The 22,751-nt window shown below is 44.6% G+C and overlaps 1 protein-coding gene across 7 annotated transcripts in view, besides 4 other annotated features; it reads left to right on the forward strand.

The window, feature by feature from the left end:
* Window positions 3,304-3,545: a silencer, noted in NCBI's record as "fragment chr5:53813343-53813584 (GRCh37/hg19 assembly coordinates)". NCBI's record gives its function as "represses an EF-1alpha promoter that drives an FKBP-Casp9 reporter gene in an ReSE screen in HepG2 liver carcinoma cells and K562 erythroleukemia cells {active_cell/tissue: HepG2 | K562}" and the evidence as "EXISTENCE:reporter gene assay evidence [ECO:0000049][PMID:32094911]".
* Window positions 3,304-3,985: a biological region, named in NCBI's record as "ReSE screen-validated silencer GRCh37_chr5:53813343-53813584".
* Window positions 3,426-3,985: a silencer, noted in NCBI's record as "silent region_16008". NCBI's record gives its function as "represses an Ori minimal core promoter by ATAC-STARR-seq in GM12878 lymphoblastoid cells {active_cell/tissue: GM12878}" and the evidence as "EXISTENCE:reporter gene assay evidence [ECO:0000049][PMID:35858748]".
* Window positions 3,550-22,751, forward strand: part of SNX18 (sorting nexin 18) — a 130,247-nt gene continuing 111,045 nt past the window's right edge. For 4 of the 7 annotated variants that reach the window (XR_007058577.1, XR_001741987.2, XM_017008997.2 and 1 more), the window contains exon 1: window positions 3,550-5,364. Coding sequence is in view for 5 of the 7 variants with exons in the window: in XM_017008997.2 (XP_016864486.1) it covers window positions 3,744-5,364 (1,621 nt within the window). In the remaining 2 variants the exon portion in view is untranslated. Of the gene's footprint in view, window positions 6,838-22,751 lie in introns of those variants that run through there. The other 3 variants (NM_001145427.2, XM_047416679.1, NM_052870.4) reach the window with 3 other exon arrangements.
* Window positions 4,458-5,402: an enhancer, noted in NCBI's record as "H3K27ac-H3K4me1 hESC enhancer chr5:53814497-53815441 (GRCh37/hg19 assembly coordinates)". NCBI's record gives its function as "activates a minimal SCP1, AML or CMV promoter by ChIP-STARR-seq in naive H9 embryonic stem cells {active_cell/tissue: H9 hESC(naive)}" and the evidence as "EXISTENCE:reporter gene assay evidence [ECO:0000049][PMID:30033119]".

Here is a 22,751-nt window from a genome sequence, read left to right on the forward strand (position 1 = left end):
TGTATAAATTTATATATTATATAAATATATATGATATATATAAATTTATATATTATATAGAAATTTTAATATAGTATATATAAATTTTTATATATTATATATAAAATATATATAATATATAATATATAAATAATAAAAAATTGTATATATAAATTTTTATATACATAAAACATATATATGTAGGTGTGAGCCACTGTGCTGGGCCTGGATGCTGTTTAATAATAGTAGTAGTTTTGAGGCGCCAGCAGAGTGCAGACCTGTGACACAGTGAACCGAAGTTCTCAGGACAGCTGAGTAGCTGCTGGGTCATTCCTCAGTCACCTGACCTCAGCAGACGACCCTCTCTGCAGTTGGCTGTCCTGATCTGGGATAGTGGGGATGGCAATATCTGCTCCATGCATGGATGAGTTGGTGTGAAAATACGGCAGGAAATAACACAGGAAAGGTGTAAGTGCATCTAAAATCATATGTACATATTTGTGTAATGCTTGATGCATTACATGAGTGTTTTCAAGTAAAATATAGTGTTAATTTTAATAATGACCCACTCTGTAATAGTGAAATTTCTAACAATCTGAAAATTTGCAGTGGTGTTCTGGGTGGTTGTGTTACCTTTAACGTTGTTGATTTAAAGAGGAGTGTTACTTAGCTGCCTTAGAAACAGTTACAGCTGGGTGGCAGAGGGCACCAGGCAAGCTGACCCAGACACAATAAGAGCTACTGGAGAGAGCTGACTTCATCTAGGGAGGATGTAAGTGGACATTCTTTCATTCATCTAACAAATACTAACTGGTTGCCTAACATGTCTGTTTTGTTCATTGCTATATCCTCAGTGCTCAGAAAACCTCATTGCCCTGAAAAGGTTTATGTTGTAATAGGGGAGGCCGTTAATGTATAGACGTGTTTATCTTAGGTCATAGTTGCTACAAAGAAAAGTGAGACTGTGGGATGGACAGGGGATGGGAGGGAGGGAGGGAGATTATATTAGCATAATTAGTACCAGCTGCCTCAGCAATCTCTGAAATTTCAGTGGCTTAGTCGGACAAAGGATTTTTCTCTCACAAAGTATGATTGGGGTCGGTGACTCAGGGACCCAGGCTCCCTCTGTCTTCCGGTATCTCCAAGGAAGGAGAAGAAAGGAGGGATGGAAAGCCCCATGGTTCTGACCGAATGAAGCGATGATGTGGCATGGTGGATCTCCCGGGGAAGAGGGCTCCAGGGAGAGAGAAAAGCGAAGGCAAAAACTTCAGCAAGAAACGTGCTTGACTTGTCCCAAAAATAGCAAAGCAACCACTGTGGCTTCTTTCAGTGGAAAAGGGGGCTGGAAAGATAGCCAAGGGCCAGGCTATCTAAGGCCTCTCAGGCCAAGGGAGGAAGTAAGAAAATGCAATTGTTTGGGGTCATTTAGTGTCCCCTAAAAACTTTACAGAAGCATATGGGTGGTTATAATGATTGTGTAAACTAAACTGTGAATAATATGCTCCATTTTCTAGAGAAATCTTTACAAAATGTGTTACTGTATCTATTTCCCTGAGTGAACAGTTATAGGTTGTTAATACTGGAGCACAATTTTCTACATATCTAAGACCCTCTAGAGGTAGGGGTTTTCCTGCCACTAGTGGCCATAGGGCCAAACATCATGACAGCCTGTCCTCATCCTTCTGGAAGCCTGATGCGCGGCAAGCACAGAGGCCTCCCACTGGACTCCTACAAAGTAAGCACCTGCAGACGCCCATGCCCCAGTGCTACAAACAACCTTGGACACCCAATAATTCCTCAACCACCATTTCTACAGAGTAGCTCAACCAGTCTGTAAAAAATCATCACCTTAAACTCCTGGAATTTTCACACCTGAAATAAGCCCAAAGTTACTGTACTTAACTCTAATCTAAAAAGTAACTACTAAACGAACAGAAGGGGCGAAACTAAATTTATTTATCTTACATATTCTAGGTTAGCTTTTCAGAAGTAAAATGAGTCATATTCTAGAGGTTTAGTTAATGTGGACTTCATGTTTCTGACCACATGAAATGTTGGCATTGAAATTCAATGATCCCTGTTGCTTACTGTGAGAATAGTCAAAACCCAGAATTTTCAGCTAAAAATGTAATTTAGAATATGCTTACTGAATTGAATTAAGGTTTTGCATTAGGATAAACACTGTGGGAGTGATTCTGGTATAGTGGGTTTGTGTTTTTGTGCAAGATGCTTACAATACCACAGCCCTTAGAATAATTGTACACTCTTCTGGCCCGTTTCCCAGGTTTCCTTGAAAAGGGTCAGAGGACAGGCTGAAATTAATGACACATGAATGCAGAACCTCAATTAGAAGTGTCTTCAAAGGAATAATTAGGCTAGACTTAATAAGAGGGGATTAAGAGAAGAAAAAGCTTTGGGCAAATTATACACTGAAGGAAAGGAAGATAGGAAACAAGGCAACGATAGATTGGAGCTGATTATTTCAGGAAGTGATTTTTGTTCTATTTATCTTAAAAATAATATAAATATAGTGAGACATAGAGACAACAGATGGATGGATGGTCACTGACCTCTTACTAGGAGTGGCAATGTGAACATTGGGACGCTTCCTGGTGCATGTACCCTGCAATTGTTAGTTTAGTACCCCTATTCCCTTTGTGAAAGAGGCCAGGGATTTTGCTTCCCCCAAATAACAGTAACAGCAGCAAAAGCAGCAACAAACCCTTCAAATCTGCTTACCCTGCCAGATATTGTTTCACTTTCCTCATCTGTAAAATAGGGATTACTTTATGATGGAATCCCCACAACAACCCCCGGAGGTAGGTACGATATAAGTGCCTTGTTCCAGGTCATACAGCTAGGTAGTGTCAGAACACAGATTGAAATTCAGAAGCCTGGCTCCGAAGTTTGAGCTCTCATTCACCGCACTACATATATCTATGGGAGGATAGGCGACACATGCATGTAATAAATGTGTGAGCATTTATTGTACTGGAAACTCTCCAGCTCCTCCCTCTCTACATGATCCTTTGCTTCTAATTTTGTCAATCACAGCACCTTCCCTGGCCCTTACTTTGTTCTTGCCAATCTCCTCTCCTTGAGCAGAAGAGGGAAGGGAGCCTGCTCTGTAGGTGAACAGCTCCTCCGCAGAGGCATCCTGTTTTCTTAGTGCAATCACTAATTCGCATTGCAAAATGCTTTATTACATGACTGGGTTGCCATTCTAGGAGCATTCACTGAGCGCTCAGAGTGGGAACGTTTATCAGGCATGCAAATGCTAACTTACTTTCTAGAGAATGTTTAACTTAAAAGCCTAAAGAAATCTCAGATAATTCACTTCGGAGTAGAAACCTCCTTCAGCCGCGCTCACTACGGCGCCCGGCTTCGCGGCACCGGCCACTAGAGGGCAGTGGCCGCCGCAAAGCCGACGCGGGCGGTGGGCTCGGCGGCTCGGCCATCGCTTGCTCTCGCCTGGCAAGGGGCTCTCGGCCGTGGATTAGCGCAGCTGGAGACGTGGGAGGCCGCGGGCCCCGCCCCCGACCGGCGGCGGCTGCGGCGGCCCAGCGCGGCAGTCGGCGCTGCGAAGTGGAGGCGCTGCGAGCGGAGCCGCGCGGAGGGCGCGACCGGCTGGTCCGGGCAGCGTGGGTTTGCCGCCTTCGGGGCTCCAGTCCGCGCGCCAGGGCTCGAGCAGTACCGCGGGCCCCTCAGGTGGGCCTCGGCTCGGGACGCCGGGAGTCGGGACCGCCAGTCGGGGCGCCGGGACCATGGCGCTGCGCGCCCGGGCGCTGTACGACTTCAGGTCGGAGAACCCAGGAGAGATCTCGCTGCGAGAGCACGAGGTGCTGAGCCTGTGCAGCGAGCAGGACATCGAGGGCTGGCTCGAGGGGGTCAACAGCCGCGGCGACCGCGGCCTCTTCCCGGCCTCCTATGTGCAGGTGATCCGCGCCCCCGAGCCTGGCCCGGCGGGAGACGGCGGCCCGGGCGCCCCGGCCCGCTACGCCAATGTGCCCCCCGGGGGCTTCGAGCCCCTGCCTGTCGCGCCCCCCGCCTCCTTCAAGCCGCCGCCTGACGCCTTCCAGGCGCTGCTGCAGCCACAGCAGGCGCCGCCTCCGAGCACCTTCCAGCCGCCCGGCGCGGGCTTCCCGTACGGCGGGGGCGCCCTGCAGCCGTCGCCTCAGCAGCTCTACGGCGGCTACCAGGCCAGCCAAGGCAGCGATGATGACTGGGACGACGAGTGGGACGACAGCTCCACGGTGGCGGACGAGCCGGGCGCTCTGGGCAGCGGAGCATACCCGGACCTCGACGGCTCGTCTTCGGCGGGTGTGGGCGCAGCCGGCCGCTACCGCCTGTCCACGCGCTCCGACCTGTCCCTGGGTTCCCGCGGCGGCTCGGTCCCCCCGCAGCACCACCCGTCGGGGCCCAAGAGCTCGGCCACCGTGAGCCGCAACCTCAATCGCTTCTCCACCTTCGTCAAGTCCGGCGGGGAGGCCTTCGTGCTGGGGGAGGCGTCAGGCTTCGTGAAGGACGGGGACAAGCTGTGCGTGGTGCTGGGGCCCTATGGCCCCGAGTGGCAGGAGAACCCCTACCCGTTCCAGTGCACCATCGACGACCCCACCAAGCAGACCAAGTTCAAGGGCATGAAGAGCTACATCTCCTACAAGCTGGTGCCCACGCACACGCAGGTGCCGGTGCATCGGCGCTACAAGCACTTCGACTGGCTGTACGCGCGCCTGGCGGAGAAGTTCCCGGTCATCTCCGTGCCCCACCTGCCCGAGAAGCAGGCCACCGGCCGCTTCGAGGAGGACTTCATCTCTAAGCGCAGGAAGGGCCTGATCTGGTGGATGAACCACATGGCCAGCCACCCAGTGCTGGCGCAGTGCGACGTCTTCCAGCACTTCCTGACGTGCCCCAGCAGCACCGACGAGAAAGCCTGGAAGCAGGGCAAGAGGAAGGCCGAGAAGGACGAGATGGTGGGCGCCAACTTCTTCCTGACCCTTAGCACGCCCCCCGCCGCTGCCCTTGACCTGCAGGAGGTGGAGAGCAAGATCGACGGCTTCAAGTGCTTCACCAAGAAGATGGACGACAGCGCGCTGCAGCTCAACCACACGGCCAACGAGTTCGCGCGCAAGCAGGTGACCGGCTTCAAAAAGGAGTATCAGAAGGTGGGCCAGTCCTTCCGCGGCCTCAGCCAGGCCTTTGAGCTGGACCAGCAGGCCTTCTCGGTGGGCCTGAACCAGGCTATCGCCTTCACCGGAGATGCCTATGACGCCATTGGCGAGCTCTTCGCGGAGCAGCCCAGGCAGGACCTGGATCCCGTCATGGACCTATTAGCGCTGTATCAGGGGCATCTGGCTAACTTCCCGGACATCATCCACGTTCAGAAAGGTAAAGCCTGGCCCTTAGAGCAGGTGATATGGAGTGTATTGTGCAGGCTGAAAGGGGCGACTTTGACAGCAGTACCACTGTGGGTTTCAGAATCATATTCTACAGGTGAGGAAGCGAGCAGAGACGTGGACGCCTGGGTCTTTTCCCTAGAGTGTAAGTTGGATTGCTCGACAGGCAGCTTCCTCCTCGAGTATCTTGCATTAGGGAATGAGTACTCTTTCTCGAAGGTTCAAAGAGTACCTTTGATGACAGTGCTATCATTTTAGAGTTTGAATAGTTGAGTAATGAGCTGCTCAAATCTGTAATCTTGAGACGAGGGTAGAATTAGAAGGGGACCTAAACCATGTTAGGTATCTGTTTGAACACTGCACTGTCACTTAGTGGTGAGTTTCAAAAAGTGAGGAAATAATGGAGAAGAACGGATGTCTGTAAATAGAAATCTGCTTTCACCCTTCCACACCTCTCAATCTCTGCTTTGGTAGAGGAATTAAGATCAATTCTCTGAGTTTAAGAAATTCCTGCAAAGAATTCTTGCCTGCAACCTTTACGAAGTGAAGTAATTTCAGGAAAAGCGTACTCATTTTGAGTTTGAAATCTATTAATGTACTGAAATTGAGAACGTTGTTTAGGAAAATTGTTTAGGGAAACTACATAGAATGAATATAATCTGAGTATTGGATCTGAGAGCAGCGTTGCTGGTATCCCAGTGAGTTAGCTGTCCAACTATCAGAGTTCATGAGTTATTAATAGTTGTTAGTGTCTCTGACCTTTGCTAAAGCACCAGAATTTGCAAATTAAAAAAATATATAGCAGTAGTGCTTGTCTTAACATTTCTTACTAATGTGCATTCTCATATAATGCCTTGATTGAGAGAATGGGGAGGTGTGGGAGTTAGGGAGGCAGTCTTGCCTGTGAAAGTCCAGTGTAGGGGCGGCTGGGCAGGGAAACCTACTCCTGAGCAGGGAAACCTACTGTCCCTGTTTCCTCAGCGGGTCTGGCCTTTACTGGTGAAGTGCTCACTGCCTTTCTGGTGGGCCAGTCCGTTTATGAGCAACCCTGATCTCTGGCATGTCTTTTCTTGTATTGAACTGAAGTTTGCCTCCCTTGATTGTCTTTCTGTTCCCTGGGACCGCCTTCAGACATTTGGAGACAGCAGTCTCGCTTCCTTCCTCTCTGCTTCTCTCCTTCCCCTTCCAAATGCGTGACTGGTCTTCTGACTCCTATGGGGGAAGGGGCTTGCTGGGAGAATGATCAAACGTTTTCAGTCTTGTTGCTGCCGCTGAAAGGGAGTACCCTGGACATCAGTACTAATTTTAGTAGACAGTAGTAACTTTCTTGGCAATTTGCGATTTGTAAATGCAGTCTAATATTGAATTCGTTTTTTGTGCAATCATATTGCTGTTGGCCTGTATTAAACCTGTATTTACATTACCTATGCCTTTTTTTAAAACATAAATTGTTATGAATCTTTGACTTTTTTGACTGGTGTTGGTGGAACTGCCTTTGTGAGCCTTTAATGGAGGGATTTAGCATTTAAATTCCATTGTGTTACATCATTCTGGACCTATGCTGGCTGCCCTTTTACACATTTCTGTGAGTTTGTGCAAATTACTGGTGAACAGTTGAAAGGATGGAACCAAGTACAGACACTTGGACATGTGTGCTGGGCCGCTGGTGTCTGTCTACTTTAGGTTGGCATCAGTTCATTCACTGTCAATCACACCATGCACTCAGGCTTTGTCAAATGGCCTGCTTTTGAAATTATATATTAGAAAAGGTATGGTGTGTGTTCTAATATCTATTTTGAGTTTACAGCAATGGTCTACTTAGTCTATTAAACCATCTGGTTATGGCCAGGGTCACGCCTGTAATCCCAGCATTTTGGGAGGTCGAGGCAGGAGGATTGCCTTAAGGCCAGGAGTTCGAGACCAGCCTGGGCAACATAGGGAGACTCCCTTGTCTACAAAAAATAAAGAAGTTAGCGTGGCATGGTGGCTCATACCTATAGTCCTAGCTACTAGGGAGGCTGAGGCTGGAGGATTGCTTGAGGCTAGGAGTTAATTTGAGGTTGCAGTGAGGCATAATTGAACCATTGCCCTCCAGCTTGGGTGACAGAGCAAGACCCTGTGTCCAAAACAAAAAATATATAGCTTATTTACTTCTTTATTTATTTTGTAGAGACAGGTGTCTTGCTATGTTGCCCAGGCTTGTCTCTAACTCTTGGGCTCAAGCAATCCTTCCAGCTCAGCCTCCCGAAGTGCTGGGATTACAAGCGTGAACCACCATGCCCGGCCTAGTTTATCTTTTTTAAATTATAGAACTGGATTTGTCTCTAGTCACTTGGGATTTGAAAAACTTCCTTCATTAAAACCAGTATCATTTTATGTGGCTTAACAGATTCAAGAGCACTAAACATAATCTCTAGGAACTTTGGAAAGAACAGCAGTTGATATTCAGTATAGTTTGTTTCTGCTGTAACCTTGGTGTGTAATGTACAGTGAACCTGTGTCCCTGGATGACACATCTTTAGAAAATACTACCATTTAAAGTGACAGTGTGCGATACATAAGGCTAAAAGCATTTGCCTATAACCAGTGTTTATCAAGGATGCTAGTGTAGGCCATTTTTAGGAGTATAGATGAGACAAACATCATAAGCCAGGATAAAAGCTTTCTGAGCGTATTCAGGACTTGTGGTTGTAAAGAGCATCTCAATTCCGTCACCTCCCCAACCCCAACTGTTACACACTTGAAATATGGCTAATGTGACTAAGGAACTGAATATTGGTCAACAGAAATGATAGAACTTTTCCATCAGTGCTGAAAGTTCTATTGGACAGTGCTGTGTTAAACTGCTGGCTGCAGTTTAACTATCAACCCCATCGTAAGTTTCTCCAGCAAATTATTATATTTTAATATAGTTTCCTGATAGCTTTATTTTTACTTGGTCATCTCATTGCACCTCCTCCTTCCCATATAGGCTTAATTAATAAAAACTGGGAAGGGGGAAGCAAGTCCTGCTAGATTCTTCTTTGCTGAATTTCCCAAGCACTCAACCTGAGTGACATTTCAGTAGCGTGAGCATCTCTTGCAGTGTGCCTTTATGTCCCATTCAGAAAACACATTGGTTACGGGATGGATGTCTGAGGCCATCCTGGTGAGAACCCAGCTGCAAAATGAGGGTGGAAAACTCAAATACTCTTAAATGTTGGTGGGCTGAAATTTTCCTGACTATACTAAATACTGAACCCATTCTTTAAACTAATAATGGTTTTAGTGTACATACTTTCTGCAGAAGTGAAGAAAGCGATATACTTCCTTCAGCCAAAAGAGAATTCTGGAATTTTGATTTTTTTTCATCAACGGATGGAGTCTAACTATTTAGGTTAATGGAGTTGAGCGAAGAAAGACGGTAGTTTGCTGTAGTCTGCGGTACATTAGATGGGAATTCAGAATCTATTGGAATTTTATTTGTGTTTTGCTTTGACCTAATAGGAGTCCTTTAAGTTCTTTGTTCATAGGTAGCTCATCAATCCCTGACTAGGCAGTGTGCAGATGTTTGTCACTGACATGTAACCCCTGTGGTCTTGATTTTTTTTTTCTTAAGTGATAGCATTTTATCTTCTCCCTCCTTATCATGCCTGTCTGCAGTATACCTTTATAGTGTTGATGTTGAGGAGTTTGGGTAGTACTGAGGAATATATTTTATTATTAGTTTCTTGGCATATTCAGTTTTGTTTCCAAAGATATGATCAATCTCTAATATTTAATAAAGCTAAATCTAGGTGGCAGCAAGTTGAGGTTTAAAAGATTTAGGTTTACCTCTTGCGACTATTGCTAAAAGGAAGACTGTAAAAGATTATGAGAAATACTGGTTTCATCCTTGTTTAGGAATTTGGACTAAATAAAAATGGCTAGAGGGAGTTCCTTTAAGTGAAATGTCTTTCTTCTAGAGAAAAGGTGTAAAATAGTGTTAAATTGATTTGTCGATTTGGGCTGTGTGAAGCAGGGAGGCAGGACTAGATAAGTAAATAGGCAGTCCTGTTTTCTGTACTCTTAAATATACAGACTCTACTTCATCGCTCTCTAAATGTTCCAGATGGAGCCTTTTTTCAATAAAAGCCCCAGGACCTCAGGAATGGTATACCAGTAGTGGGCCTGTCAGTCTTGCTGGGTAGAATTTCACCATTGTGCTTCCTTTTACCACTAGTAGAGTTGGCCTGATGTCCTTCAGACATTAATTAAAGATAGCTGGAGTCCCAGCAGGGCACACAAGGTAAGGCTGGGCCACACGGAGACCCTTCCCTGTCTGCTCCCCATTCTCCTGTAGCTAAAAATAGCCCTGAAAGGGTGGTGCCAGGAATACAGAGAAAAGCTCTAAGAAGTTGGGGCTGTTTGCAAATTCATCCTTATTTTTGAAACCTCTGGGCTAGAAATTGAGGCTGTTCATTCTTTTTGTTTTCACTCCATCTTTAGTTGAACCCATTTCTCCTCTCCCCTGCATTTACCCCCAGCTGTTCTCTAAAAAGACCTCATGTCTCTAAAAAGAGAACAGGTCTGGGGCTTACCCTTTGCCCCAGTTTGTGTTTTCTTAGTGAAAATAAGGTGACCGTTGGTGCTTTCGAAATACACGACTCAGTTCCTTGGTTAAAATATAAATGTGACTGCCCAAGGACAGTCTTGGGCACGAAACTGGGTGTGGGCACCGCTCATACCACACCGTCAGGGGTTTCTCAGACTTCTTTTTTGAGCCACATAGCCTTCAGAGTCATGCCGACCACAGTGGGACCGAAGGGAGGCAGAGGACCTGCACTCCCACCCTCCTCCCAGTAACTCAGGGAGCCTATGAGGTTTCCTTGTTCAGCAATGTTGTCCTGTCTGGCCATCTTAGGACTTCTAAGCATAATGCCAGAACCCAAACAAGTGAGAAGTTCTGTGATTCACTTACAAACACTTCCCTTGAACTATTTAATATGTTCCTTCTCTTTGGGCTGAATAAAAAACTATTATTGTATTACCCCATGTATTTTTAAATCAAAGTTTAAATATCAAGTTAGATTTAATTTGCCATATATTTTTGAAGCTCTGTATCATTAACTAAAGGATTATAAAGTGGCAGAGTAATGCTGAGCTCTGTTTGACAAGATTATATCCGGAAGGCAGACGTGTATCATGTCTCATATTTATACAACACAGACTAGAATCTGGCCGCTCTGCCGGTGTCTGCAGGAGGGCTGGGTAGGCCTCTGGTCTTAAGTGAGTTATTTGACTAGCTACAGAGACAGGTCAGCCAGCCTCGGCAGTTCCTTGTGCCAGGATTCTGAGAGCCTGGTGGATGGGCCAGTCTGCCCCAGGAGTTGCACCAAGGGGTGGGACTGAGCTGGGTCTGCTGAGGAAGCTGTGCCAGTGAAGGGGCAGCATGCCAAGCCAAGAAGCCGTGGGTGCAGAGCCTCATCGCAGTGGGAGCTGGCCTGTCGGGACCAGCATGGGCTCTGGAGGGCCAGTGTGTGGGCATGGAGGAGTTTTGGACAAGCTATTTTAACCTGCGTAACGCTCACTTATCTTTGGCCAAGTGGGGGCACTTCCTCACGAGGTCAGCATGAGAATTAAATGTTATAGTTCATAGTAGCTAGTCACTAAATGTTTATTTTTGAAAAATAGATGGGTGAATTTAAAAGGAGATGACAACCAGGCATGGTGGCACATGGCTTTAATACCAGCTACTTGAGAGGCTGAGGGAGGAGAATCACTTGAGCCCAAGAGTTCAAATCCAGCCAGAGCAACACAGTGAGACCTTGTCTCTTTAAAAAAAAAAAAAAAATTAAGGGCGCTCTCCTTTGAAGGACAATTCCAGTAATCTTATCATCCCTCCTGGCAACCTATTGCCACCAGAATTGTAGGCAAAAGTACAAAAGCTCAAGGAGTCTTCAGTCTAGCAATTAAATATCTGCTTTAATCAGTTCGCCCTGTATTGCACACCGGAAGTAATGGCAACTGGGATAAATGTAGATGTTGTTTGGAGTCAATCGTTTGTTGTTGTTCACATTGAAGAGTGTATGTAAACTGTCTCCTCCTGGCTCCCCTCTAACCCAAATCACGTGTTCTGGTGCAGATCACTTAATGTTTCTGAGCTTCAGTTTCCTCATCTGTAAAAGTGAGGTTCATTATTTCCTAGGTACTATTTTGTTAGTTGACTTTTTTAAAAAAATAAGAGTAGTCTTAAGTATCCAGGAAACTTTTAGACATTGTTTCAGGCTGATTTTAATAGTGTTCTCTGTCTACTTATGTGACTGTTTTACGGGAGCATGAAAAGCCCTTATCAGTTGATGTGAAAGAACATTTATGCACGTTTAGTTCAGATCAGCAATCACGCATTGCAGGCTTACCTCACTAGGAACTTCGAATGTAAAAGTGATTAATACCTGGCCTGCTGCTGCCTGGTGAGGGTTCCCGGGTGTTCTGAAGCTGTGGTATGGTAGACAGCTGGAGCGACTTCTCTCTGACCCAAATTAATAGGACTACCAAAGAGATAAATTATGACAGTTTTTTAAAGATGGAGTCTTGCTCTGTCACCTAGGCTGCAGTGCAGTGATGCGATCTCGGCTCACTGCAACCTCTGCCTCGCGAGTTCAAATGATTCTCCTGCCTCAGCCGCCCGAGTAACTGGGATTACAGGCATGTGCCACCATGCTTGGCTAACTTTTTTATTTTTTTTAGTAGAGACGGGGTTTCACTATATTGGCCAGGCTGGTCTTGAACTCCTGACCTCAAGCAATCTACCCACCTTGGCCTTCCAAAGTGCTGGGATTACAGGTGTGAGCCACCGTGCCCAGCCTCTGATATTGATCTTATAGCTTGATTAAACTTTAATTTGAATGAGTTTTAGTTCACTTGTCATTTCTGTACCTTTTCTTATGACTTATCTGTCACTGTGATTTGACTTTCCTCTTCTGCTAAATAAATTGTTATTTAGCAGGTAAGGGGACAGTGAAGGAAGGGGAGATAAAATCATTAGATTTATTCATAGGACCCTCTAAAAGATAAACTAGATTTTATTCAACAAATACGTATGTACCCATCATCGTCCAGGCACTATTCAAGATGCTAGTGTTGCATCAGTGGCCAAAACAAAGATCCCCACCCTTGTGGAGCTTGCAGTCTAGCAGGGTGGAGACACTCAATGAAAAACAAACACAGGAGGTAAGTTTTGATGTATGTTGGAGTTTGGTATGTGCTAGGAGAAAACAGTAGAGCAGGGAAAGAGGGCATGGGAGGCAGGATGAAGTACTAGTAAGAGTGCTCAAAGTAGGTCTCATTGAGAAAGTGAGATTTAAGCAGAGACCTGAATCACTCTGGAGTCAGGAGAGTCGTCCAAGCAGGTATCTCGGGGGAGAGCTTTTCAGGCAGAGGGTTTAGCTAAAGTAAGGCCCTGGGGTGGACATGTGCCAGGCAGGTTGAGGAACAGCAAGGCCAGGTGGTTGAAGTTAAGAGGATCCTAGGAGATGAGGTCATGGAAAGTCAGATTTGCAAGGCTTTGCAGGTCACTGTTAGGACTTGGAATGAAAGCCCGAGTCAGATGGAAGCAATTACAGGATTTTGAGCCAAGGTATGACATCCAACTGGACATATTAACAGACTTAGTCCAGAGCAATGAGAATAGAATGGCGTGTGGCAGTCAAAGGTGGATGGAAGCAGGGAGCTAGTAGGAAATACTCCAGTAATCCAGGTGAGAGATGCTGGTGGCCTGGACCAGAGTGGAGACAACAGAGGTGGTGGTCGGGGAGCCGGGGGGGGGGGTCCCCCTCCAGCTATATTTTGGAGGTAGAATCAACAGGTTTTCCTGAGAGATGGGATTGTGAAGGATGTGACATGCAAGAGAAAGGGGAGTCATCAAGGGTGACTGTAATTTTGGCCTGTTTGGCCTGGCCTACAATAAGAATTGTCAGAACAGGGGTGGGGAGCAGCAATCAGGAATTGAGTTTTCTCCTTTTAGGTAGATCAGGCTCATGCATTCTGCTCCATGTCTCCCCACCCCAACACAAGCACTTTCTAGCTTCAGGTCTAGTCCCCTTCCTTGGAGTATCCCCCTTGGATTGTAGTCCTTTTGTGAATAATTGTCTGTGCGGTGCTCAGTTATTAGTGTGTGGGTTATGTTTTTATGTTCCTGTGTTGTATAGCTGTTAACTACTGTTTTATACATGCATAGCAAGTACTTAATGAATGCTTGCTGAATTAATGAAGTAGGCACTCAGTAGCTACTTGGTTGATCTTGAAATAGATTTATAAGATGTTTTTGTTTTTCCATTTATATGATGATGGATAACAGTCTAAAGTGTACAGGAAATAAAGATAGAATCTAGATGTATTTTATGGATGAAGTCATTAACATGTGAGTGATTTAAAAGTCTTAGAGTTTTGTGTTTATGAAATGACTTTACATAATTCATTGGGGAGGGGAGGGGAAGTTTGAAAATGCTTAAAGTGCCAGAGAATTAATATTGTATACCTCATGATTTCACTTTATATTGATTCTTGGTGTTTAAACTTACGCATGCATACACGCACATACACACACACACACACACACACACACATTTTCCTCATTAGTAAGTTTTAGTTATAACATGTTTACTGGGGTCTCGTTTGCTTAATTCAGAGCACAAGATCCAGAGAATACATTCACCTTGTTGCTTGACTTGGATACACACGGAGCACTGAGCTCATGTGTAGAGCAGTAGGTACTTGCCCTCATGGAAGGCCCACTCAGTTCCTTGAGAGAGGTAGAATGTGTGCACAGAGGACTGAAATAAAAGGTAGATTTAACTTAGTACTGCGAATAAGACAGTGCATGGGAGTCCAGGTGATAGAGAGGAATTGTCAGTTTGTGTTAGAGGCTTGAGTGGGCAGCATTTGAATTCCCCCTTTGAAACATGGTCACAGTGTGACTTTTGGAGGAGTGTAGGTGGAAAGCGCACTCCTGATCTTGAAATGCTTTAGGATAGGTTTGATAAGCATACAGTAATTGATAAGCAAGGTACCCGGTGCTCAGGTCAGTGAAGGGAACTGAAGTGAGGAGCTGTCACTGTACCGTATGACACACAGTCGTGGACATGCACCATGATGTGAAGTAGGACAGAAGGAGGAGTAATTATGGGCAGTGGATAGGAAGGTTCAGAGGTGGCTTCTGCCAGTCTCAGTCTAAGAAGAGTTTTGAAAACAAGTGGAAGTTTGCCAAGCCGGCAGAGTCGGGGAAGGGCAGTCTGGGCCGAACCATATGGGATCCGTCTTGGCTGCCTCTCAGAACCAGCCGCTGAGGGGATACAGCAGAAAATGGGGCCCCACCCTGGATGTGAATCGGAATGTCTGTGCTGCCTAGACATTGGTGTTCTTTGAAAAGCTCCTCACATGCTTTTGATGTGCTGCTGGGTTTACAGCTGCTGTTGGAGGTGATAGCGGAAACACGGAAGATCAAATGGGGTGCCGACATGGCCAGGCCTGCACTTAAGATGGACAGGTCCTGGTGGCAGGTGTAGAACGTGGTTGGGGGTTAAGTGAAATGGAGAGTAATTCAGTAATTCAGACAAGACGTGATAACATCTTATTGGGGGCAGTGTCCGTGGCGGTGGGAGGAGAACACAGAAGGGGCTGCTTGCCTGCAGAGTAGGGTAAGGGATAGGGAGAAGTACAAAATGGCCTGCAGATTAGAGTCTCTGGGTCACCAATAGAGATGCCTGGAGATGGCCTGGAGCGGGGTCTGCAGACTACAGCCCACGGGCCAGATTCACCCAGGCGCCTGTTTGTTACAGTGCTTGAGCTAAGAATGGTTTTTGTATTTTTAAATGATTCTGTGTTTAATGGTTGTATAAGTCCCTACATAATAACCTCAATTTTCCCTCTTGACCTGCAAAGCCTAAAATGCTTACTGTCTGGCCCTTAAAGAAAATGTTTGCTGACCCTTGACTTGGATGACAAGCAGGTTAGGGGAGTGGGTGTGGCTACTCTTTATTGAGTACTTACTACGTGATAGGCAGTATTCCAAGCATTTTATATATGTCCTTTTTTTTTTTCCACTAGAAAATTCAGAAGCGATACATTGTCTTAATTCTATGCAGGAGTGGGTATGACAGCAGTGTGGTTGTTGGCATGGGCTAAAACCAGATGGGTTTGAGTTCCTGCCAGCTTCACTGTGTAACCTTGGGCCACACACTTCTTAACCTCTGTTTCCTCATGTGTAACATGGAGTAACTATGTTATTAATACAATAGCTGATAATGCTGAAAAATATTTTTCAGCATTAATTATCAGCTATTGTATTAGTTTCCTGTGGCTGCTGTAACAAATTCCTACAAACTGGGTGACTTACAACAACAGAAATGGGTTCTCTTAGAGTTCTAGAGACGAGAAGTCTGGAAGGACAGTGTGGCAGTGCCATGCTCCCTTCAGAGGCTCTAGGAGAGACCCCTCCCTTGCCTCTCCAGCTTCTGGTGGTTGCCAGCAGCCCTTGGTTTTCTTTGCTCTGCAGCTGTATCACCTCAGTCTGTGCCTCCCTCCTCACGTGGCATTGTCCCTGTGTGTCTGTCTCTGTGCCTTCTCTTAAGGACACCCGTTGTCCTAGATTTAGGGCACACCCTAACCTAGAATGACCTTACCTTAACTAATTACATATTCAGAGACCCTGTTTCCAAAAAAGGTCACAGTCAAAGGTTCCATGTAGATTTTAGGGGGACACTATTGAACACAGCGCAGTTTTTAACTCCCCCAAAGTGGTGTCATCTCATTTGGTGGCTGTGAAAACTGAGGCTCAGGGAAGTTAAGTGATTTCCAGGCTCACAGAGCTAATGAGGAGAGCTAGGATTCGAGTGCATTATTTGCCTTAAGTTGAGACTGGTATTTCTTACGCTACAATATATAACATGCTTGTTAGAAAATTGACTTATTCTACAGGCAGTCAGCAGCCACTAAAGGTTTCAAACCAAAGAGTGACGTTTAATCATAATCAAAATAGCTATCATGTTTTGAAGACTTCCTGAGTGCCAGGCATGGTGCTTTGTGTTTTATATTCATTATATCTATTTAAGCTTCAGAGGAGCTTAAAAAAGTATTTACCTCAAAAAAGCTGAGGTAAATACTCTTCTTATACCCATTTTGCAGACAGGAGCTGAACCACAGAAATTTTTTTTTTTTTTTTTTTTTTTTTTGAGACAGTTTCGCCCTTGTTGCCCAGGCTGGAGTGCAGTGGCGTGATCTCGGCTCACCATAACCTCCACCTCCTGGGTTCAAGCGATTCTCCTGCCTCGGCCTCCTGAGTAGCTGGGATTATAGGTGCCCGCCACCACACCCAGCTAATTTTTTGTATTTTTAGTAGAGACGAGGTTTCATCATGTTGGCCAGGCTTGTCTCAAACTCCTGACCTCAGGTGATCTACCCGTCTCGGCCTCCCAAAGTGCTGGAATTACAGGTGTGAGTCACCCTGCCCATCCAAACCACAGAAATTTAAACTGCGAGTTCCTGGAAGCATCCTTCACTGGTGCACCCTGGCTCCCTGAGGCAGGGCTTTTGGAAGTTACTCCTGTTGGTTGGGCAGAGATGAGGAGGCTCTTAGAGTACTCCAGGGGAAGAGTTGGCTTTGGAAAGGAACAGGTGAACTCGAGACACCTGCCAGGTATCATGGCAGGACCTGGTGAGGCGCTGGCTCTCCTGAGGAATCTAGTGTTACCTTAGAGGTTTTAAGTTTGGGTGGTAGAAAGTAGTGAAGCCAGTGATAGAAGAGGTAGGCAGACTGAGAAGAGGAGCAGGACTAAAAGGAAAGACAAGGAATGGGGCTGAAGGGAGTCTTAGAAAATCCTTTTTCTTTTATTGTGTTTTTATTGTGTTTAGTTATGTTGACATTTGCGATTTTCACCAAAGCCACGTGTTGTCTACAGCAAGACATTTTTAACTAAATGCTGATAGATGTTAGTGTGGATAATCTGTAAATTTTCACGTTTTATGATTTGTATTTCACATATATTTTAAAACTTGATACAATTTTAGATGCTTTGTTCTGTCTTTAGTTGGTTATTTATGATTTCATACAAGGATGTCCGGATGTGGTCAGAGTAAAGACTCACAGCCACCGGACACCTGGGCCCTGCCAGTGCGAGGCAGCGGGAAAACCACAGGAGTGAGGCGTGTCCTTACATTTAAAACAGCTGAGTTAGGAATTATCTCCACAGCCTCGTGATCGTGAAGGGATGTGAAGCAGCACTCAGGATAACGAAGAGTGCTTGTGCTGCTCACCAGTCGGTACCACCGTGGCATACATGGCAATTGGGACAATGGAGTTTACAATTTCAGACAAAAACTGGAAAATTACTTGAAAACGAGAAATGCATTATTTGCAGATATTCTGCTAACTCCAGCATGAACCACAGTGCACTCAGATAGGGTCCCATAAGTGCCCTGGCTCTGCGTGTGTGCTCTATCTTGCCTTGCCTTGGCTTCTCTCGTAAAGAGCAGGGGCCACTTTACTCTCTTCCTGGCCCCATCTAGAGGGACTTCTGTTTAGATTTATTTTAGCAGCTTCTATTTAGATTTATTTTGGCTTGGGTCTCCCTTTATCTTTCTAGAAAAAAAGAAAATAAGGTTTTACCTTTCATTAAAGGTACTTTCCCAAGTTCACTCTTTGGTACAGATATGCTTGTTGTATGTCACGTGTCGAAAGTGTTGGCAGCTTGCAAACATATCTATTGTTGCTTTTTTTTTTTCTTTTTTTTTTTTTGTAGAGACCAGTATGCGTGCACATGCCTCAGGTAATTAAAGAACTGGGCACTGCAGACCTGAGGCCCCTATTTGTGTTCTCTGAATTTGAACCATTATATGGGTTTTACTTTTACAAAGTTAGTTTTTTAAAAGTTTCATTGTATGGTCAGCATTATCAAGGATAGTATGTCTACCTTATTTTATTAAGATTCTGTGGGTATCAGATCTTTAAGAAAAGAAACAATACATGGTTTTCTTTCTTACTCTCAAATTTTAAAGTCTTCATCTATATTTGCTTGGCTACAGGCAAATCAACATTGCCACCATACCCAAAAACACTTCTCAAATAAAGACACTGTGTTTTCAGAATTCTCCTGAAACTATCACCCTAGTAATTTTATCACGTTTAATATTCATTATGGGCTGGAACACAAGAACCTTTATGTATATAAAATTACCAGCAAGAAACAGTTTTACCAAATAAACCACAAGAGGTACAATCATGTGATTTCTCTCTTCATTTTTGGAATGAGGTAAACTGTATGACTATATATGCATAGTAACTAAAATAATCATCTTTTAAGGTATTTATACGCAAGTGAATATTTGTATTCAAACTGAATGTCATTCTGCCTTTAGACATTAGGTGATTGCTGAATGAAGCTATAAGAACTACTTAATTAGAATATTATAACAATGCTTTTACCTGAAACAGACTAATGATATTTTCAGGATGAAATCAAGCTTAGAGGCCTGAATTCTTTAAGTGATTTTTTTTCCATCAAGTGACCAGGTTTTTTTCTTTTTGCAGTTGACTATGCTTGTCTTGATCCTCTTCCCTCCTTTTCAAAATGGTTCAAAAGTTCTCTTTGTCATTTATTATATTTATGAATTAAAAAGTGAATTTTAAATTACCTTTGAATTTTGATAGTTATTAGCTTTAGGGACCTTCATTAGTCCATTCAGAAAATTGCTTTCCCTGACTTGAGTTCAGTATTAATTTTGTACCCTCCAGGGTTTATTAATGTGGTCTAAACCTGGAACCCACTTAGTATGAATCCATGCAGGAATAGTATTTAGGGTCTGGAGGTGGTTTGTGGGTTGCTCATCCCTATGTTGGTGGCATAGGCTCCTAGGAGGCGTTGGGTACTGGTGTAGTGTGCTGTGCTTTGAGGCCGATCTATGGGGCTTTGCGATCGCCATGGGTAGGGTATCCCCCCTTGGGCCACATACAAGGGAATTGCCTGAGTTGGGCAGACCCAGGTTCACATGCAGCTGGACACTGAGTAAAATTATTTAGTTTCTCTGAGTTTCACTTTCTGCCTCTGAAAATGGTGGCAATGATTACTTTTATTTCACGGTTAAAGAGAAGAAAATGAGACATGCGAAGTGCAGAGCACAGGTGTGCACAGTGCAGGCGCTTCTCTGTGATGATCAAGTGGCTGGACGGCTGCCCTAGTTCTCTATTTTAAGTGGATGCTGGCCTTTGCTTTTTGAGACATTTTGCTCAAAACAATATGAAAAAGTAAATATTAGAGCAGAGAGGGGGAAGGGTAATCAACAAGTAGGTGGAGACCAACAGGGAGGAAGGAAAGGGGAGGGGAAGAAGTTAATGGGGAGTTAGTAGGGAAGGCCAGGGTGTGGATCCCAGCAATGAGAGGATAAGAACCCAACAGGCCACGCTGACCAAATTAGCATTTTCTTTCAGCATGTTACGTGTGCCAGGGAATGAAGAAAAACAGGCCGAGTCCAGTCTTGAGCGACTTCTAAGCAGCTGTCCCTGCTGCCCTTCAGCCTGTCTCCTGTTCTTTCCCGTACACCATGGCTTCTGTTTCCTGGGGAAGGGCCCCTGGAAGACAGAAATCGAGTTAATGTTTTTGGCACATTCATGATTTCAAAATTAAATAAGGTGCTTTCTTTTTTCTTTTTTTTTTTTTTAAGGGAGAAAATGTAGCCTTTGGATTCCTGTTGCTTAGTGACTGGGCCTTTTGTATAATTAGTCTTAGAAGAGACAAAACATACTGAGAATAAGAGATTGGATTGAGGAAAGGAAGGCAAAGTTCAGGTACAAGGACTGGATGGGGTTGGACTGGGAGCTCTTGGAGCCATGGCAAGCCCTGTGGGGACCTGAGTTTGGGGGCAGGCAGAAAGAGGGAAAACGGTAAGGAGGCCAGACAGCTTCTTTAAAGGGAGGGCAGGGCCTTGCCTGGTTAAAATGGCTGAGGCAGTACAGTGTATGAGGGCTTTTTTTTCTTTCTTTCTTTTTTTTTCCCCCTGTCTCACTTTGATGGGTCAGAAGTTTCCAGGAAAGTTCTGGTTAAAATGCCTGAGGCAGTACAGCGTATGAGGATTTGCTTTTTTGTTTTGTTTTTTTTTTCCCTCTGTCTCACTTTGATGGGTCAGAAATTTCCAGGAAAGTTGTTCTCCCTGCAAATGAGAAGCAGAGGAACATGGAACAGAGAAGTTTAGTGCAGTGCAAGTACATCTGCTAGTGTGCTGGTTGAGTTTCAGCTTGCAGTGTGTTCTTAATATGTGCTCATGGGCTACATGACTCGAGAGATTCACTACTCTCATACTGTCATTCTAGAAAAAAATTGGCATTGAAATCCTAAGTGTTAGCGTTTACTGATGGAAATAGTTTAATGATATGCTGTGTAAATACTGTGATGCTTTTGAACATGGTGCTGATTTCTAATTCATAATTTATAAATGATTTTTAAAAATTTGAGCCTTTTAAGGTAATATTAATGAACCTTGTCACATGATTAAATTCTTTTGTTTTCATTGTTTTATATTCATTGCAAACATGAGTAACATAATTCCTCTAAAATTGAGAATATATGTATTATAAACAAAGACATAGTTATTTCTTGCTTTGGTCTTTTCAGCCTGAGCATCCTTTAGAACTGCGAGATGGCTTACATTGGTTAGATACAAAGAAAAAAGGTAGGAGGGGATAGAAGTGAATTTAGGACATTCGATTTCTCTGGAGCTAGGACTGGTGATGGAGAAGTGGGGCAAAGTACCTTTCTCTGAGCTTGGGAAATTGCACTGATATGAAAATGAGCCCTGTTGGGAATTTTCCAGGTACAGAATCAGCGTGGGAATCTAGGAGGTTTTGTTAATAACAAATCCTAAAGCAAAGTAAAAATATTGGTTTAATTTTCCTTTTAACTCTCAAAACATAGAAAGGAAAGGACCCTTTTCAACAATGTAGTAGGGTCAAGTCTCCATCTCAGGCCTCAATACACTAATCCACTCAATCTGTGCCCACAAAGAGGGTAATAGGTCTCCTGAATGAGGATGCCCTGCTTGGAAGGGAGAATGGGACGTGCCAGGGCTGGCAGGCATGTGGAGGTGGGGTCTTTGCCATGAATTAGCTGTGGGACTTTGAACAAGTAGCTCACCCTCTTGTTTGTAGAATGGAGAGACTTGTATAAAAACTCTTCTAAGACCTTTTTAGCTTTATTAAAAACAAAAATTTGAGAGCCAGCTCTGCCCTTCTTACCTGGGAGGTAGCTCTGCCTTGCCTTCCCCAGAGGGCATCTCCAGGACTGGAGTGTGGGAAGGTGCCCTTGGGCTCCTGCCTCTCATTTAGGAATTAGACCTCAGGGTTATTAGTTCCTGAGTGCACTTTCTGTCCTGTGGAAGAATTCGAGTAATCCACCAAACTAATTCAGTAATTAAGTTGAACTCTCAACCAAAACTTCACTCTCAACAGGTAAACCTAGAGCTTACTCTAGGATCCTTCCTGCCTCCTTCACAGAGATCCCCTGAAGAAGAAATAGCTGCAGTGTGTTGGAGGCTCAGCCTAGGCGGCACTCTGGGCTCCTTTTGCCTGTTCGGTATCACTGTATTGGGATGTGGTTGAAATCGATTGCCTCACTTTAAATAATTATTTTTCCTGTACTTCAAATTCATTTTTTTTTTATTATACTTTAAGTTCTAGGGTACATGTGCACAGCGTGCAGGTTTGTTACATATGTATACATGCGCCATGTTGGTGTGCTGCACCCATTAACTAGTCATTTACATTACGTATATCTCCTAATGCTATCCCTCCCCCCTCCCCCAACCCCACGACAGGCCCCGGTGTGTGATGTTCCCCTTCCTGTGTCCAAGTGTTCTCATTGTTCAATTCCACCTATGAGTGAGAACACGCAGTGTTTGGTTTTCTGTCCTTGCAGTAGTTTGCTCAGAATGATGGTTTCCAGCTTCATCCATGTCCCTACAAAGGACGTGAACTCATCATTTTTTATGGCTGCATAGTATTCCATGGTGTATGTGTGCCACATTTTCTTAATCCAGTCTATCATTGATGGTCATTTGGGTTGGTTCCAAGTCTTTGCTGTTGTGAACAGTGCCGCAATAAACATACGTGTGTATGTGTCTTCATAGTAGCATGATTTATAATCCTTTGGATATATACCCAGTAATGGGATGGCTGGGTCAAATGGTATTTCTAGTTCTAGATCCTTGAGGAATTGCCACACTGTCTTCCACAATAGTTGAACTAGTTTACAGTCCTACCAACAGTGTAAAAGTGTTCCTATTTCTCCACATCCTCTCCAGCACCTGTTGTTTCCTGATTTTCTAATGATTGCCATTGTAACTGGTGTGAGATGATATCTCATTGTGGTTTTGATT

The sequence above is a fragment of the Homo sapiens genome, chromosome 5 (genome assembly GCF_000001405.40).
Source record: "Homo sapiens chromosome 5, GRCh38.p14 Primary Assembly".
Classification (NCBI taxonomy): Eukaryota; Metazoa; Chordata; class Mammalia; order Primates; family Hominidae; genus Homo; species Homo sapiens.